Source organism: Homo sapiens, chromosome 9, assembly GCF_000001405.40.
Source record: "Homo sapiens chromosome 9, GRCh38.p14 Primary Assembly".
Classification (NCBI taxonomy): Eukaryota; Metazoa; Chordata; class Mammalia; order Primates; family Hominidae; genus Homo; species Homo sapiens.
Genome location: NC_000009.12, coordinates 7,100,863 through 7,120,693, shown reverse-complemented (window position 1 = coordinate 7,120,693; position 19,831 = coordinate 7,100,863). Strand labels below are relative to the sequence as shown.

The 19,831-nt window shown below is 38.7% G+C and overlaps 1 protein-coding gene across 18 annotated transcripts in view; it reads right to left on the bottom strand.

Annotated features, from left to right (window-relative positions):
* Positions 1-19,831, bottom strand: part of KDM4C (lysine demethylase 4C) — a 454,786-nt gene that overhangs the window by 54,955 nt on the left and 380,000 nt on the right. For 9 of the 18 annotated variants that reach the window (NR_148679.3, NR_148677.3, NM_001353999.3 and 6 more), the window contains 2 exons: positions 16,824-17,009; positions 15,194-15,292 (listed from right to left, as the gene is read on the bottom strand). Coding sequence is in view for 13 of the 18 variants with exons in the window: in NM_001353999.3 (NP_001340928.1) it covers positions 15,194-15,292; positions 16,824-17,009 (285 nt within the window). In the remaining 5 variants the exon portion in view is untranslated. The remainder of the gene's footprint in view (positions 1-15,193; positions 15,293-16,823; positions 17,010-19,831) is intronic. The other 9 variants (NR_148680.3, NR_148678.3, XR_001746255.3 and 6 more) reach the window with 1 other exon arrangement.

Below are 19,831 nucleotides of genomic sequence, written 5' to 3'. Positions count from 1 at the left end.
ATCTCATATTTAAGGCAAATGTGATATAAGAAAAAAATTGCACTTTTACTGTTTTTAATAATCACCACTGATTCCAAAGACATGTTGTTTCAATCAAATAAATAATTTCATTCTCAGGTTTGGGGCTGTATTAAGAAAAAAACTAATCAGGTCTTTTTGGAATTCATTACTATTCCTGTCCTTCCCATCATACTAAGCCACCTCTAAGGGACAGCACTAATAATAAGATCCAATTGTTCAAATGTAGAAGAGTTTTCTCTCCACTGATACCATGCTGCCTTCAATCAAGTGTGAACTTGGAAATTATACAGGCCCTTATAAGAAAACTCTCTAGCTTTCCTAAGACTACCAATGTTGAAATAAATAGCCAAATTTCAAACAAAAGACAGCTAACTACCAATGATTACAACCTGAAGAAGGAGGAAAGTATGTTCCTAATACCTGGACTGCTTCATCAAAGGCACAACAACATCCAAAAGGCTGACTTAAAAAAATTTAAAGTTAGCATTGAGAAAATCCAATGAAAAAAAAAAATCATCATTCCTTGCCTGATGAGCATTCTACAGCAGTGAACTCTGAGCCAAAATGCCAAGAACAACCTGTCAATCAATGCCACGAGGAAGAGCAATACTAGAATGGGATGGGGTTTAAAAAAAGTGGCATTTAATTACTAATGGCTCACTAAAAATAAGGCACATTCCTAGGTGCTAAGAATAAAAATAAAATAATGAGAGAGTCCCTTCTCTCAAATAGCTCACATACTAGTAAGAGAGACAGACATGGCTGATCATAATGCAAGGTATTAAGAGAGCTCAGATCAGGGAAGGAAGAGGCCCTCCAGAAAAGAAAATGCAGGTAAACATCTGAACCAGGAGGGAGGCTGCCAGGAAGTACACATGCCCCAGGAAGGCTGTTGGAGTATGTGCCAGGGACCTCTCTGGCTACTTTGTGAAGCCCTACTCAGAACTATGTTTTCAAATGCATAAAATAAACACAGAAGATTACAAACAAATAATTATATTAGAAAAATAAACTTGTTTTTCTTTCTTTTTTTTTTTCTTTTTCCTTTTTGGTTCCCTGACCGGAAAGGAAAAACAAATATGCTTTTAAAATAATGCATTAAATACTAATATCTAAAGGTAGGTCTAACAACTATTAATATCCTGATTACAAAGTTGTTGATGAGCATAAATAATATTTTTTAAATTTCTGTTAAAATGGTAATATGATTTCCATTGTAGACAGTTACAAAAACTGTTAATGCAGTCTCTGCCTATGCTCAAGATTGACAGAACTGTTAAATTTGTGCTAGAATTAATGAAAGAAAATAGTATCTTTTCCCATTTTCTAAGACACAAATTTTTCTTCATAATTATTAAAAAGATTTTATCACCTGGGATATTTAATGACGCAGCAGCCAATCTTTTAACAGTAGACTTGGGAAAATGGCAACAATGCTATTTATATAATGGTGCTTGTATATACTGTCACTAAAAAGACACAGTAATGAAATGAAACTCAATGAAGGCACCTTATAAAGGGTTAAGTTATGGAAGCTAAAATAGGTAATTTCTTGGTGGCCTAACCTGACACGGGAATCTAACTTAAATACTCAAGTGGACATATGCACTGCATTCTTAAATATCATTTCTCCCCACTGAGTTTTTGACAGAGACCAGAGAGAAAACAGTTAATCTCTAGGGCAAGAGCACAGGGGGAAGGGCTTTTGTGAGGTAGAATGAGGGAAGATTCTTTGCTTTGGCCGTATAGGTAGTCTCTTATCAGACCTGGCAAGGCTGACCTGTGTTTACATCTGGAAGGAGGGTCACCCATCATCTAGCAGGATGAGTCATGGGCGGAGATGTCACCTTGGGAAAATCCCCAACTGGGTTCTCTATCTACATATGATGTTAATAAAGGGCGTAAATCCAAATGCAATAATGTATGTAGAAACCCACAGCACCAGCAAGGCTGAACAGGTGAAGAAACCAAAGTAAGTAACTTAGCCGACGTACAGGCCAAAGAGCAGGTTTCCATTTGTACGCAATGACCCTTTCACCATCTCAACTTTGTTATTTATCCTTAATTTCTATGAATTAATAACCTGTGAAATATTATTATTGTATTTTTTCAAAGTATCCATCTGATAAAAATTTCTACAAGGATTGCAATAAATAAATCAATACAAACTATTCTTCGTTTACCAAAGGTATGCAGCAGGAACCACTCATCTAAACTTGCCTTGTCATAGTGAAAGCTTTCTTTGTAAATTACAAGAGCTAGGTAAAAATCCTCTGCCCAGAAAAACCTAAATCCCTGGGGCTTCATGAAGAAATACTTGTTCTTACAGCACAAATACACATATGACTCATCAAAACGTCACAAGTATTTAATTTTCCACATGTGTGTATGTTCACGTGTACTTTTATTTCTCATGGGTTTTTAATTACAAACATATAATACAGTGGGAAATGGTGGTAAGCAGTTTCCCAGCAGATTTAAGGTCTTATTCACTTTAATGTCTGTAGAAGCACAAACAACAGGCTGCATTAGATGCTGAGAAAAAACTAATTTTTTTCCATCTGAATCATGAGCTCACCTCGGAGGTAGTGGCCCTGTTTGGTAAGTGAAGAGAACTGGGAAGAGAGAACCATCTTTAGCTATAGCAGAATCTTTGCCTCACTGTGTTAATGTGTAAACCTCTCAACAGGAACATACCACCTGCTTGCTACGTATTCTAAAGAGTAAGCAATTTAATTCATAAAGAACAGAGATGAGAGTTCACATTAGTTAGACAGGTGGAGCTGGTAGTGGGCCACTGCTAAGCTAAAACCTGGCATGAGCTTCGCCTACAGTCACATCCAATTTCATTACTGTTGCTAGAGAATCAGTGAGTTCCCAGATGCTAGACCCTAGAAGCTCTGCCTTGGGCTTTTTTATTTCAGGAGTTCTTCAGGCTTCTTGGGTGCCAACAATATAATTTAGGAAGAGCAATATATTCCCACAATCTCAATCATTAACAGCAGTGTGTGTGTGTGTGTGTGTGTGTGTGTGTGTGTGTGTGTGTAGAAATTAACAAGATGATTCTAAAATGTATACAAAAATGTGAAGAACCGAAAATACTCAAAGCAATGTTGAAAATAAAATAACAAAGTTGGAGGAATTACAATTTGGAGAGAATAAAATGAGAAGGAAAGCATTTACTCAACAATAAGGTAATATTTCCTTTAAATGACGTCTGATGGGACACTTTCAAATGAGAGAAGCAAGCGACACAGGGTATCACTCAGTGGTAACTCCTGCCTATAACGATTTCTGACTCTCAATTACAGTTGGTGAATGGGTTAAACACACTAAAACAGATGCAAATATTTTGTTATTGAACAAGGTAACCCAAAGCAAAACAGACTAATTAAATAGTTTAACAGATTTTCTGTACCACCAAGAAGGAAGTCCAGGTAAATCTTAATACCATGTAAACAAATCCAAGTCATAGTCTCAAATTAGAAAAATGACTACTAAAACAGCACAATCCAAATGAAATGCCATGTGCTCTGATTCTGACAACCTGAATGTTCTATAACTTTTGAAGACTGTTGAACCTCTCTGAAATTCAATTTCATAACCTGTCACATGGGTATAATCATAATATGTACCACACACAAGTTTACTATGAACATCAAATGACATAATGTACTACGTGTAACTATAAAAGACACTATACAAATGTTAGTTATTATTATACTTTTGTAACTCTTATCTACATTGATACACTGTCCCCAACAAAGATGGGTGGTCATTTTGAGCGGGAGACAAAATTAGAGAGGAAGAGGTAACTGTGCCTATAAAGACACACTGCTTACATGAGGAGAGAATGACAGAGAAAGAGAAAACACAAACTTCCTAGGTTTCTCTGGACTTCAGGAGAAGCAACTAAAGGTACGGTGAAAGGGAAGTCAGCCAAAAGCTTTCTAATGTCCATCACATCCACGGCAGGAGTGCAGATTCTGCCTACCTCGCCAATGTTACTCAAAAGGGATAAATCCACAAACTGTTTAAAGTCCAGTATTAATCAGCAAACTAAATCCATCTGTCAGATTGTCTAGTGTTAACTGAGTGGACCCACGTACCCAGCACTGTGCATGAAAGAGAGGTATGTTATGGGGTTCACGTGGGGGCAGGATGGGAAAGAACTGGGGTGCTCTAATGGTAACTGCATCCTTCCTAGTTTCCTGCCTGTGGCCCTCCTGTTCTTGATCACCTAAGGTCCATATAACCTCAATTAAAGTTACTTTCTCAGATACAGTAAGGACACTGCTCTGTTCTCCAAATATGTAATAAACATGACATTTTTAAGGTATAATTAAAAGTTGTTGAATTTAAGGATTTCCAAATTTTGCATTTTCTTCTAATTCCTGAGAAATGTATGGGGAAAGGTGAACAAACTTAACTAAAAGGCCCACTCGAGGGACAAACAAAATGGAAAATAACTCATTAAGGTATCTGATGCTTGCAAAGAAGAAAGTTTCACTTCTCCATGTCTCCTGCTCCAAGCAAAAGCGTCCGAGTGCCAGGTCTGCCCAGGAATGGCTAAGAGAGCCAAAATGATATTTCAGAACATCATTTCAGAAGAAACAGGAATTTCTTACGTTTCTTCAGACATTATAATTTCAGTGACCCACTACACCAGTGTAGGATGAGAAGACAAGAAAGGACATGTGACACTTCAAGATGAAAAGATGCCAACTTCTGACTGGCAATGGTGAAGAAACTACCCATTTTCCCTGGAAAGAAAAGACGTATTGACTTGTATGTGAGAAATGTGCAGAGCCCAGGATGCTCCAATATTCCATGGAAGGACATGACAAAGAAGATAAGGCATTCCTCTGGAATCACTGGCTTCCTGCCAAGAGGCTTCAGGAGGCCTTTTGAGCTAATCCAGACTTTTGTGTATCATATTTGTTGAAAGTGGACATACAATCAAGGCTTGGAGAGTAGCCTTTTAGTTAGAAATATTGGAAGTTATTTCATTTAATTGCCTTTTCTATTGCTTGCAGTTAATAGTCTTAAAAATATACTTTCATTACATTTTGTCAGTATCTAAGGTTTTCATTACGGCTATGGCATCTAATTACTGTTTTCTACATGAAGGAATTGAATATCCTACCTCTTATGTGTTACAAGATGTTGGAATGTCAAATACCCTTTGCTGTTGTGTGTCTGTTGACACATTCCATTTATATTTTTCTACTGTATCTATGATGCTTGACTCTAATACCAATATTAAAATATGAGATTAGTGTCACTACTTAATTTTCTTAACAAGCTATCAGACGATTCTGCGTGCCTTAATTATTTTTTTAAAAAAGTACAAATTGTTGAAAAGCTTAAAATTTCCTGGGAACGGAGAAATATTAATTCTGTGCAAAAAGCAAGCAAGCATTTTGCATGAAAATACACCTTATCTACGAAAAAAATAAATAAATAACCAAATAAATGGTCCTTGGAATGGAAGAGTTGATTTTCCTCAGTAAGTTGGCCCTTGAAGTTGTCAAGTATCAAGTGTCCCATGTAAATTATTTCTTTTTGTCTGTTTGTTTTGTTTTTTTGAGATGGAGGTCTTGCTCTGTCACCCAGGCTGTATTGCAGTGCAGTGGCGCAATCTTGGCTCACTGCAATCTTTACCTCCTGGGCTCAAGTGATCCTATAGCCTCAGCCTCCCAAGTAGCTGGGACCATAGGCGCACACCACCACGACCAGCTAATTTTAGTATTTTTGGTAGAGATGGGTTTTTGTTGTGTTGCCCAGGCTGATATCGCCTCGGCCTCCCAAAGTGCTGGGACTACAGGTGGGAGCCACTGCACCTAGCCCCATGTAAGTATTTCTGAATGCAGGTGCCCCCACCGTGGGGTCTAGGTCTGCTAAGGGGCTCCCTGGTTCCACGGTGCACTCTGTGGTGGAAATGACAGAGCCAAGCATAAAACAGAGCACTGACAAGTTTCACCTAAGCATTCTGATGGGTCTGCTTTTGTGATAAAAACCAAACACCTACACCAAAATGCCTTTGTCTTGAATTTTTTAAAAATCAGGGTCAATTTGCAGTTTTATAAGGACAGAATAAAAAATTTAGGTAAATATTTCTCCTGAAACCACATTATTCCACACAGAACTAAAACCGTATTTTGAGAGAGATGAAAGCTATTAAGTTTTACTAATGAAAATGCGAATACATTGCTGTGATTATTCATAACTAAATAGGTGCTAATTCCCTTCATTCTAATTAAGTTTAAAATGTTATCAATTGTTATTAATTTCTCAATGTACCCATATACATATCAGAACAGATAAAATTTTGTGTTTTTGTCCCTGAGGGTGACTAGACTCAGGAACATGAATTCCTAGCTGACAGGCACAATGTCAGCTATTTCCAGAATAAAGCCGAGTAGTATAGCTGCAGAGAGATTTTACAGGTGCTTCCCAAACTACAAGATGTTAACTACCATGAACCAGGCCTAAAGGATCTCTCCCCAGAAAACAGAATAAGGAGTAGTATGGTAGCAGCCCCTCTCCTCTGAATATGTTTTACATCAAATAATATGAAATTGCTGGTATTAAACCAGTTTTAACCTATAAAACAGCAATTTCATATGTTCATCCTGGGATGTACCATTTGGCCTCACATCAGTATTTTTATCAGGGCTTTAAGATATGGGTAAGTCTCTCAACGGGACTTCAGCATGGTTCTAAGTGGCAAGCAGTAAAGAAGCAGAGCAGGAACCTGAATGCAGGACTGCCTGGAGTCAAGATTGTTTTGAATACACCACACTCCTAGATGCTGGCAACTCCTGATGCTCTCCAGCACGAGCCTTCATGAATCCAGAATTCTGAGAAGTACCAGTCCTCTGAAGCTCATTTCCCAGACTTTGAAGATTGATCAACATAATAGGAGCTCATCAAATGCTCGAGAAATTATTTTTCATTAGCACGAAGAATAGCCTAGAGTTCAACCATTTTTAGAGTAATCTTTCCAAGATCACGTTAAACTCTCTTGCCTTCTTTCGTAGAGTATGCTGAGGCTGTTGTGAGCATGGGAGTTTGCAGTGGCTCTCCTCAAGCCCTTGCTCTATCAACAGAAAGCACAGGGAGAGAAGCATGATGCTCACTGACCCAGCCCTTCCTATGGAAATGGCAAAAGATCAGCAGTGGGAAAACAAATTAGGGGGTTCTGAATAGGGTTCAAAAATGTTTAATGGGATATATTTAAATTTCCTAGCAAAATTAAGAAAAATTTTATCTTCTCTGGCTTTACCTGATAATGTGAATAAGAGAAAGATAGGTTCTGAATGTCAATATTCTAAAAGGTCTGTGCTAAATATTCCTCCTTCCAGGCAAATCTAACCTTCACTTTCTATCATCTGGGATAAGTGGAGAGAGAGCTCAACAAAACCCTTCTATTGATAGAAAGGTGAGGGATTTCTTTTAAAAAATGTGTGTTAGATTTAGGAATATCGATCAGATTCAGGTTTGAATCGCTATAGTATTTTTTTAAATCCTTGCTAAGAATTCTCATTACTCCATCCCTTTGCTTTGGTCAGAAATCTCTCTTTGTCAATAATAACACTGCAAATTCAGCAGGCCATTTGTTAAAAAGCTTATGTAGAAGAAACAAATCATATACAAAAACAAGATGATTATGTAGAAGTCTAAGGAAAAAAAAAGAGTATAGCTGGTCAAAACAAACTTTGTTAAACAGAATTTTAGTTTGCAATATCCAAATTGTTAAAGGAAAAACAATTCTATCATCGGCAAAACATAAAGACACCCAGGATCTTAGAGACACTATGAGGATTTGTGGAAATGACACCATTCAGATCACTGTGAGATAAGTGTTAGCTAAATTCTGGTTCACTTTATGAAAAGGAGAAAGCAGAAACTAAAGGAAGACAGTATCAAGCCATGGAAGTGAGCTCCAGACGAAGTGAGGGAAAATAAAAAGGAAACTGAAAGGATAGATTCAACCCATAGCTACATATGATGTATCAGCCCTGTGGGGGCCAGGGCAAGCTCACTGGCATTAGATGGGCACACTGAAAGTGACAGTAGGCAAAATTCTTCCTCATAATCAGTTCTAAATTAACTAGTTGTCCCTTGGGGTCTTCTCTCTCCCTTCCCCACTACATCTGATTTACCAAGGCCTATAATTCCACCTCCAAAGTGTCCTCATAATCAAGACCCTTCTCCTCATCCTGGGACATGGCCATGGTGGAAATCCAGGTCTCTGTTTCTTCTCACCCTCTCTGGAGCATCAGCTTCCTGTCTCTAATCAATCCCTTCTACTCTCTAATCCACTCCCACTTGGCCTCAAGATTGAGCTTCCTAATACTGCCCCACACATAAACCTCGCATGGGACCATCCACTGTAGAATAAAGCAGAACTCCCCTAAATTTGCCTGAAGCAGTGGCAAAGGAGTTCAAGGAATCCCCCGGGGAACATGGATGAAGGAAAGTCGCAAGAGTAATGCCTAAATGAGAAACTCTTCTTTCTTTTTAATCTTCCCTACTTTGAGGAACTCTTGAAACAAGATAAATAATAGCCTCTCCTGCCTGATCTCAGCATGACCCACTTTGTGCATGTGGGCGCATGTGAGAGACAGCTATTGGGTAACACGTTTGCACCCCACCAAGGGGTGAACTGAGTACCTGTGGGTCTTGCTCCCAGGAAGCCTCCCCAAAACAATCTTCTCCTCACCATGACCCATCTCCTCTAGAAAGGATAATCCTTCCTGTCCCTCACCTCGTCCCTAAAAACAGATCCTTGTTTAGCCAAGAACATTTCCCTAACTTGAAGATGAGAGATTTTTAAAATTTTAATTCAGGGATATATAAAAACGGGGTTTCACTTTTTATGAAAGACAGTCTTCACATTCTGATCACCCAATCTACTTCACCAGCTTCAACTTCCCACTCACCACTCCATCCTGACTCCCCCGTAAACCTGACATGTCTTAGAGCCAGTAACACTGAACTCTTCAGCCTTCCTCAGATATACCAGGCCTTTGAGGAAGTTTGTGCACACACTATTCCCTGTGCTTAGAACACCCTGGACTCTGAGTCAGATTGCCTGGCTTTGTATCCTGGCTCTTCCACCTACTACCTGTATAACTTACAGCAAGTTATATAAACGTAAACTCACTCTGTTTCCATTTCCTCATCTGTTAAAAAAAAATAAAAAGATAATAATAGTACAGGTTGCACATCTCTCATCCAAAATGCTTGGGAGCAGAATTATTTCAGAATTTTTCGAATTTCAGAGTGTCTGCATTATACTCACTGATTTAGTTTCCCAAATCTTAAATTGTGAATTCTGAAATGCTTAAATGAGCATTTCCTTTGTGTGTCATGTTGGTACTCAAAAAGTTTCAGATTTTGGAGCATTTTGGATTTGGATGCTCAACCTATACCTACCATGAATGGGACACTGAAGATTAAATAAGTTAATATCTGAAAAGCCTTTAGAACGCAGCTTATCACATTGTATTAAATAAATGTTTCCCACCACTGTCTCATCAAAAAAAAAACAAAAATGTTTGCTTGACACACTTGTGTGAATGAGGTCTGGTCAGCAAGAATGAAGTCGGATGGAGAAGTTTAAAGAAAAAAGGTTACGTTTACTTCCAGGATGCTTCATGGTCCCTACATATATTGAACTGAACAGTTTTAAGGCAGTCTAAAGTTCTCCATAACTAACTTTTGTGCTAAGCCATATTTTTGATGATCTGGCTAAACAAGTGCTGGGATAAGAAAGGGAAAGCAAGCAGTATAGTTGCCATATTAGTTATCAGTTTCTCTCCAATACTGCAAGTCTTAGAAAAGTGGCTGTATTTTCCTTGGTTTCAGGTCGGTTTAAAAATCTTGGGATGAAGTCAGTTTCTGAGATTTCTACCCCACTTTCATCCCTTCTTCAATAGGTTTAAAATATTTTCAAATGCGGGAAACTGTCTTCAAAGGAACTGTAAACTTTGCTCTTAAAGAAAGAGACCAGAAAAGCAGAGGCCCCCTGTGGAAGAGTATGTGCACCATAATCAGGCTGTGGATCCAAGCGCGTAGAGGATGAGGAGGTGGTAGGCCCAACCCATACCTCATTCCCACCCACTAAACCATACAAACCTAGGAAGAGTTAAGAGAATTTTAGAAAAACAGGTCCAAATCTTTAGGCATCACTTAGGAAAGGAGAAATTGCATTAATAAGCCCTCAAGTTAGAACAATATAAAAATAAATTTATTAAAGCCAGGAGAATTGGATATATCAACATGAACCCTGAACCATTTGAAAAAAAATGCTATTTATCTGCTCTGTCACTAAAGTGGCTCTAGTCCTAAATTAGCCAGCACTCAAATGAAACAAAACATGGTAATGTGCACCTTTCATGGCAAATTTGGTCTCTAGTAGAGCTCCCATAAAAAAGAACCAGGGCTCTTTGATGAATCACTGATTCCCAGTTTGGTACAATAGAAACCAAGATAACTTTGGCATTTCCCACTGCGAAAAAAACAAAGATAGTTTCAAAGATGTCTAGAAGTGTGGATTAGTCCATTCTCATGCTGCTATAAAGAACCGCCTGAGACTAGGTAATTTACAAAGGAAAGAGGTTTAATTGCCTCATAGTTCCACATGGCTGGGGAGGCCTCAGGCAGAAGGCACCTCCTCACAGGACAGCAGGAGAGAGAATGAGTGCTGAGTGAAGGGGAAAGCCCTTTATAAAGCCATCAGATCTTGTGAGACAAACTGCCACCATGATCCAATTACCTCTACCTGGACTGCCCTTGACACATGGGGGTTATAATTCAAGATGAGATTTTGGGTGGGGACACAGCCAAACCATTTAAAAGTGGTTTAAAATTAGAAATAAAGCAGTCACCTAGAAGAGGCTCCAAAAGGTCCAAGGGGAGCAAGAACATCAAGAAGAAAATTTTGGTCAACTGGTACGCAATGGGCTCATAAAAAGCTACAAACCATGATGATGTTTAAAAGAGTCAAGTAACATAAAGTAAGCTAAGCGAAGTCCTACCCACTGATATAAATTAGCTGAATGCTGCTTAATTACAAAAACACAATCATCTGACCACCCGTCTTACATCCAAGGGGCACAACAATATAGTGAAATGCGTATATGCTGAAATGTAATTCTGGCCTTCCAAATAAAAATCCTGTTGGAACGAATTGGATTGAAATGTATAAACCAGAATCAGGGGTAGGCTCTGGAGGAAACAGGCTTTCTAAAAATTCTAGAAAGTTGGAGAGAGATATTGTTCAGGTCCCCATCTGGGAACAGAACTACTTTTTTCCCCTAGTTGATTATATAGTACTGTTGACCTTGATTTTGGTTTAAGAACTAGGGCATCTTCATGTTTATAAAAATTTTATTAAAATGAGAAGCATGGATAATCAGTTTTCCTGAATGAGACCCAAGTATAAAATCCTGTGGTACAGCAAAAATATATCTTTAGTTTCAGATCTGGCAACAGCCTACACACATACCACTGCATATGCCCATTAGGGAAACAGGACCCAGGGGGAAGTTTTGTTATGATAGGCTGCATTCACTTCTACCCTATTTACCAAATCCACTTCTACTACAATTCTGCATCCTTGGCTAATTAAAAGAGAATGTTACAGTGGGAGTGAATGTTTTGGAGTCTCTCCCTGTCAATCCATAATCAACCTGAAATACTGCCTGCCCTTTTACAATTAATAAATTCACATAAAAGTGTACTGATTCTTATTTTTTTCATTAAGTATTTTCTCAATAACAGACACTAAAAGAATAATATGCTATACAATACAATACAGGATAAGAACTACTATTCTAGGGTATAGAATTTGGGAGCCTCAAACATCCATCTTTCCACATTGTTGAGGCCTAGAATGTTTCACTGTTGTTAGCAATGAGAGGTAGCCCATTCCATCATCACCCCAAGATTAGTTATATAGTCATAGGTTAACCCACAGAGCCCTTGCTTTGAGCCCTTCACCAGATTCTGTGTATTGTGGTGTCCTCTCCTGTCCTAAGCCCATGCCTCATGAGGACAGGAAGGAGTTGCAATAAAACTGGCCTGGGAGCTGGCCTAAAGACCCAGAGGCTGGAAAAAGCATTCAGGCTGGGCGCAGTGGCTCATGCCTGTAATCCCAGCACTTTGGGAGGCCAAGGCAGTTGGATCGCTCGAGTCCAAAAGTTCAAGACCAGCCTGGGCAACATGGTACAACCCAGTCTCTATAAATAATACAAAAATTAGCAGGACATGGGGGCGCACACCTGTAGTCCCAGCTACTTGGGAGGCAAAGGTGGGAGGATCACTTGAGCCCAGGAAGCAGAGGTTGCAGTGAGTCGAGATCATGCCACTGCGCTCCAGCCTGGGTAACAGAGTAAGACCCTGTCCCAAAAAAAAATAAAAAACAAAAAAGCATTCAGTAAGTGCTGAGCAAGGACTCAGTTGTATTACTGAGATGAGAGTTAGAAGACACATGGAAGAGGGCCAGATGGTGGAATAACAAGATCCTAGACAAGTTTCTAGAACGGGAGCTGCCAAAACAGAAGCCACCCTACCCACCCTGCTTTCCATTATGCACACAAAAAACACTGCTCTGAATAAGGTGCATATGTGAAATACCTAACACACACTTGACATAAAAGATGCTCAATAAATACAAGTTCTCGTTCTTCTCCACTAATCCCACTCCCTAGCATCGGATAATTATTTTAACAAATTTATACCAAGCTGCTCCTATGGATAGCCAAGTGCTAGTTGATAGAAATAAAAAGACAACAACAACAACAACAACAACAAATACTTTCTGTCCTTATGACCTAGCTACAATAATACTAAAGGAAAAATACACAAAATCACATAAATTAACCAATACAGCGTTTTCTCTATAAAAGTTCTTCCTCTCTTTTAAATAGGTATCTGTCTCCATGTTAACAGCCACGACTTCTAAGGTTTCTAAAGCTATGAATACAACTTAAATGTCACACTTTTCTAGAGGAAAGAATATTAAGAAAAAACACTATGTACCTCATATAAGATGTATAAAGAGGCCATGTTCATTGCAGTGAATTAACAAAGTGCAAGTGATTCTGGTGCTGCTACACTAAATATGCAGATTATTCTAACCTAATATGAAAGTTTACTAAGTAACTTGCCAGGAAAAAACATTGCATGCCATTTTCTCACCTCTGTTATTCAGGCATCCCTTCCACAGGGCATCTGTCTAGTTTACTCAAGTGTGAGATGGCCCTGTGGTGCTATATTTTGCAGAAGTATATAGTGTATAGGTAGCTGACTATTTGTTTGAAGAAAAAATACATTTCCAAGACTTCCAGTTTCATAACTACTATTTATTGTGTTGTCTTTTCCTTACAAACATCTGTGCAACATTCAGATAACTGGGTTAGGAATATATCCAAGTGGAACCTTTGGAAATACAGCCAGAAACTAGGTTATAATGAATCATGGCACAGGGTGGTGAAGCGGACAGCATGACTACACACACCGACAGATGAGCACACACTCATGTGCACACATGAAGGAGACCTTACATCTGAAACACAGCAGTGACATTCAACAAAGGTGTTCAACAAAAACGCTGGCAAACACATGCTAAAAATTTAGGTTGAAATAACAGGGATCAGCTGTGTACTTCCTGTGACACACTTTTTTCCATCTTTAGGAAGTTTTACCCTATTTTTTTCAAGCACTGCCTATTCTAATTATAAACTCTGCTTACTGCTTGATGGAATAATGTATTAACAAATCAGATGAATTTTATACAATTATTCAAAATAATTTTACATCCAAAGCTCAACAAACAATGAATAAGCTCATATATTTAAAATAATTAGCTGGGCACGGTGGATCACACCTACAACTCCGGCACTTTGGGAGGCTGAGGCTAAAGGATCTCTTGAGCTCAAGAGTTTGAGACCAGCCTGTACAACATAATGAGAACTATTTTAAAAATATATTAATTACAAAATAATAATTTATGACACTAATGGAATAGTTGAATTTTCCTTAAAATGGTCCTTTTGGATGCTTTATAGCAAATAATTGGGAGAAATAAAAAAATAAGGGAATCAAAAACCCTAAAGTGAGTAAAAATGGAGACTCTATTGAAGCAACAGTAGGTTTATACTTCATTTCACCTAAATCATACAGGCATCCTCCATTATTCTGTAAAACAACTGGGCCAGGCTGCCAAGTTAGCCTGAACTTTATTTTACAGTTTTCACTGCTATGATTCGGCAATTGCCTATTACTTTCAAATAATCAATGCATGGTTGAGAACACAGACAAACTACAGTTTCTGCTCTAAGAAGCATACCTCTTAGCATTGATAGTTTACACAAAGAGAAATATTTGATTGAATCTGAACTTTTCTATGCTTGATAAGGAAAGAACATTTAAAGCAATAGGGGCAAATCACAATGTTCTTAACCAAAGTTGCCAGATTCTATAAATTCCTACTGGTTAGTTCCCAAACACTTTGGGGAGGAATCCGTACTTGGAGTCGAATGGAAGAAGAATGGATAAGTAACAGCTACTAGAAATATACTTGGGAAATACAGTGCTAACAGTGCTTCCACCTAGAAAATGTAGCAAAGGCAATTTAAGAACACTAAAATTGTTCCCTCATCAGGAAAAGCTGCCTCACGTGATGTTGTAAATTATATGATCTTTTCCCCAGTCTTTACAAAGTATACCAAGCTGAAAGTGGATCTGTAGGAGACAGTAGTTTCTAAATCACCTCAAACTCATCTATTTTCTTTTTCATCATCATTTAGGAAACACATTAGTAACCTAAACTTGACTGAACCACACATGAGAGTTAAGAGGAATGAGGTCCTGATTAAACACCTGGATCTCTTTAATAGCAACTTCAATATAGTCATCAGTAACCACAGGGCTTTGGAATATTAAAACGGTAATGTATGATCCCAAGCAAAGCTTCAGATGAACACCTCTAGCACCATTTGAGGTTTGGGGTTTGGAATTCACCAAATAATAGAGTATGAGCTAAAAAGGCATTTACATTCCAGCACCTGCCACTCATTATCTGCATCTATTTGGGCAAGGAATTAAACCTCTCTGAACTTAGGTTTCTTATCCTCGAAACAGGAAAAACACTACTCACGTGGCCCAGTTCACATAAGATTGTAGCACCAGCAGCAGCAGCAGAAGTAGTAGTAGCAATACAACTTTCATTTTTTGAGTGCTTACTCTGTGCTGTGAACTGAAAACAACATGGTGAGGTGGGATACCATGTTTTATAGATGAGGAAGCTGAGGCTCAGAAATAAGAACTTGCACAGGGTTGCACAATCTGTTACTGGCAGAATCTAAGTGTGAACACCAACTACTCTGACTTCAGAGGTCACGACCTTGTTCACATCTCAAAACGCATTCATATACATCCTCTAATGAGGTAATCCTATTGACTGCACACTGTTAAGGGCAAGGCACCACAGTCATGTAAGGTGTTATTACTAGGTATTTTTAAAAGTTGCTAAAATGTATTTTCTACTGGATACATAATACTATTCTTAGCAAAAGGACATCAACTCAAGAAACTATGGAAAAGGCATGAATGAATATGCAACTTGGAACCTGAAACAATGAAAAAATAAGACAAATAAAATAGATGTGACAGTTGGTGACATCATTTTGTACATTTAAGCATTCACTCACATCTGCCCAGATCCCCAGCCCACAAACATCAAATATCTCTCAAGATGTCAATGGAAATTGCTGAAAGCATTACAAAGAGCTGGGAGATTTGCTGTGTGTGACTCCACAAGCCAATGCTGACGACTTGGCAGGCTGCTCACAAGAGGTTATTAGGGACATAGGAGAAGCATGTTAGGCTGCTAATAGCCTGTGGCCAAGTCTCTCAGGGAAAACAAAGTGCGGCAAGTTAGCAGAGCTGAGCATCTAGACAATGCTTTAGCCTCCTATTTGGTAGCCAGAAACAATCATGGTGAACTGGAAAGCTAACAAAGACATATCAACTATCTCTACGCTGTCATAATATTTCTAAGCATTTAAAACACAGGAAAGATTTCATTTGACAAGGACAGGTCAACAGAAATATGGCTAAATTCATATTATTTGGTTGCAAACACTTTTCCCAGAAATAAGCTCAAAAAAATTGTTCTCTATATTTCTCCTCTACTTTTCTATTTTTTTCTATGAGATTATCCTCACTCCTTCCAGGGCCCCAGGCTGTCCCTCACATATGCCATTTTAGGCAGCAAAGTCCCAAAAGCTCCTGGCCATCCTACCTCTTCCTTTACTGTGCTGCTGCTCTTTGTTTCTTCTAAAGGAGATAAAATAACAGCCCAAGACCACAGTGTACAGTTTCATAGACTGTTCACTACATAATCTCAGGTGGTGATCCCCTCGCAGAAATGGTCTCACTCTCATCCTGGATATGTGCAGTGCACAATGTGTACAACCAAGCTCAGCAGCCCTGTGTACAGATCCAACACCAGAACAGGCATGGAGAGTTTTCTGCATGCATCTGTTCATTCACTCATTCAACTCAGACAGATTTATTGTGCCTAGCGTGCACCAGGCACTTGACAGGTCCTAGGCAAATACCAGGAAATAACAGTGCGCAATCCCTGCCCTCAAGGAACTCACGGTCTAGACATGTCAACAATGAGTCATATTACAGAATAAAGCACATTATGTCTGGGAGGTAGTCTAAAACAGGAGAAAATCCAGACACGGTCTTAGCACTGAGGAAGGGAGGGCACATCTTACCACGTTGGGGTTGACCTTATGTCGAAAGCATGTAATGTTCACCACATAAGGCCAGTCATCAGGCTCCATCAGTACCCCAGCAGCATGGGCACAAGTGACATGGAAGGAGGCCGGGCAGCGACCGTAGGAACACTGGATGCAGGCTCCAGAGACCCTCTTAACCCGGTGTCTGCAGAAGATGCATTTCTGGAAGGTTAAAACAGAGAAGAACATCAATTCACATTCTGTAACCCAGTCAGTTCCCACAATTTACAGAACAATAGCTACTAGAGAAGAAAAAAAAAAAAAAACAACTGATTACATCAACAAGTCCTGACCCCTCCAGGGGCCCTAGTGGTGACAGCATCTGTGGCAATGTAATCTACTTTCTTTAAAGGAAACACACTGCTACGGTCACAGACTGCCAGACATATGTTTAACTATTTCTTGTAGCAAGGAAAGCCAAACACTTTCGCACATACTCCTGCAGGCACAGAGCTCGGGAAAAGACCCCAGAGGTGCTCCTATAAATAATCCATGAATGTTGAAGCTACTTCTGTTTTGCCCTCCTGCATGACAGGTCTTTCTGTGCATCAAGAAGTAGAATATGGGTTTGGAGGACAGGTCATTCTTTCCTAAATTAGATGTGGTCTTCAAAAACACCCAAACAGCATAGGGGCAAGTTAAGTTTTCCAAAGACAAGGAAATGTAAAGTGTTAAATGGTCCAATGTGGAAACTAGCGTTTAATAATCCAAATCTGAACCCTTCATGACTGACAAAAAAAATATGCCTCCCAAAGTGAGAAAATTGAAAATCACCCCAAAGGGCATAATTTGGTTGAATATCTATAGCTGATGATGCCTGGGGAAGAGAAGATGAAAATAAAAACAGCAATAATGATTACCACAATTCGAAAAGTAAATTGCATACAATTAGCCCTAAACATTATCAGTACATTTGTTATGAGAGATAGAGAAAAACAACTTCACTAAATGTAAGTTGTGAACTAATACTTGAGGGTTAGGAAAAAATGGTTGTGGAAAAACATAGGGTTAGGTCTGGAAAGCAGAAGAAACAATGATCAAAAGCTCAAATTTTCATTCTGAAGAGTAAAAAGGATCTGAAATCTGATCAAATGTTGGTGCTCTTCTTTTATAGGTAGATTTTCTTTTCTGGGACAATAAAGGTACTTAAACTCAAGCCCTTTTGAAGACTAATATTTTATCAGAGACGTGCAAGAATCAATGTGCATTTAACTTCTAACTCTTCGTGTCCTCACATCTGATCGGTGACTTAATCTTTTAGATTCTGTCCCTCAGTCTTACTCTGATCTCTGCCTACCATCTATACCAACTGCCACTGCCTCCGCCCACGGTGTCTTGCCCAGCATCATAATGGATTCCCAATGTGTATCTCCATCCTTTATTTCATTCTATCTCCATTTGTCTTCCCCAAAGCTGCCCGAGTGATTCTTTACAACACGAATCTCATGTCACCACCATCGTACTTAATATCCTTCATATAATTAAAGGTTTCTCTTTATCTCCAAGTCACTCCAAAAAAAAAAAAAAAAAAAAAAAAGGGAAAACCATGAGGTGCAAGAGCCAAGTTTGTAAAAGGCCCTTCATGGTCTAAGTGTTACTTCTCACTAGTCCCCATAAGGACCCTATACATTAGGTACTTATGTGATTTCCTTATACATCTAGATTCAATGTACAATTAAGCATTTTTAAGTGGAGGTTGAGGATGTGGCTTAACTGATTAAAAAATCACACACATATATACACACACAAATACACAGAACCATAAAACTAAAAAGACATCATAATCTGCCTAAGAGCATTATTTAATATTCTGTCTTGGTATCTCTTTGACAATCCATGCTATCAGTTTCATTACATTTTTTGTAATTTTTAGTATTTTGGTATCTTTTTGTCAGTTCCAATTATTTGAAATGTGATGGCAGATACAAAAGCAAAAACTCCTATCAGGAGCCCCGGGCATTTTCAATCTTTCAAGAATCTAATTATACAACATAGAGGTCAGTGTTTGAATAAGTTAAGATATTGACAGGTATATGAAAGGTGAAATTATGTCTTATTTTCTTAAGATCTTTTAAGAGTAGGACAGTGTTGTGACTTAGCTAATTAAAGCATTGGTATCTCCCAACCTCCATCACCATTAACTTCATTAAACTGAGACTCACTAAAAAGGCGTAAGAAGACAGAATACACTCAAGCCCAGAGAGGATTCAATCTTTGGAACCTAAGGAGGGACTTGCCCTATTCCAGGAGGACCAGAAGTGGGGACTTCTAAGGACAGAATCACAGTTTCCTTAGGAAGTAAACCTAACAGTAAACTATTATAACTCAATGCTTTGCAAGATGTTTATTCAGAGTTGAGAACACTTAAACATCACACAGGTTCTTGCAGAGACAGAGAACCCCATAAAACCTATGAGGGGAGCCATTGCGAATGCATCCTGTAAGACAGTTAACGCAGTATTTCAGACCCCCATTTTCATTTGTTTGTTGCTAAAATGGTTTTTTTTCCTCCCTGGCAGAAAAATCTCTGGAATTTGATGCCTAAAGATACCTGGGCTACAGAATGGAATCTAGTAGGTTAAAGACATCTATGTGCACTTAAGAATGTTACAACGAAATACATGCTATGAAAGAAGTGAACGAAATGCTACCTGGCACTAGAATAACATGAATAGGCATGCTACAATTAATGAATCATGCCTGGGGACAACAGAGGGAAGAAAGCTTTAAGAAAAGCAAAGACGAACTGGATCAAGATCAATCCCTGCTACCATCTATCCAGGCCCAACCCCTACGTAACTATATAGGAAAAAGGATGAAGCCAAAACAGCAATGACAAACAAGAGACAGTGCCATCAGAGGACCAGAACATGTATGGAATTCCTAGACCATGGGAAACAGGTGGAACTAAACGAACAGAGAAACCAAAGTAGATAAGAACTAATGCAAAATAAGTGTTTGGCAAAGAATATCCTTTAGGCAAA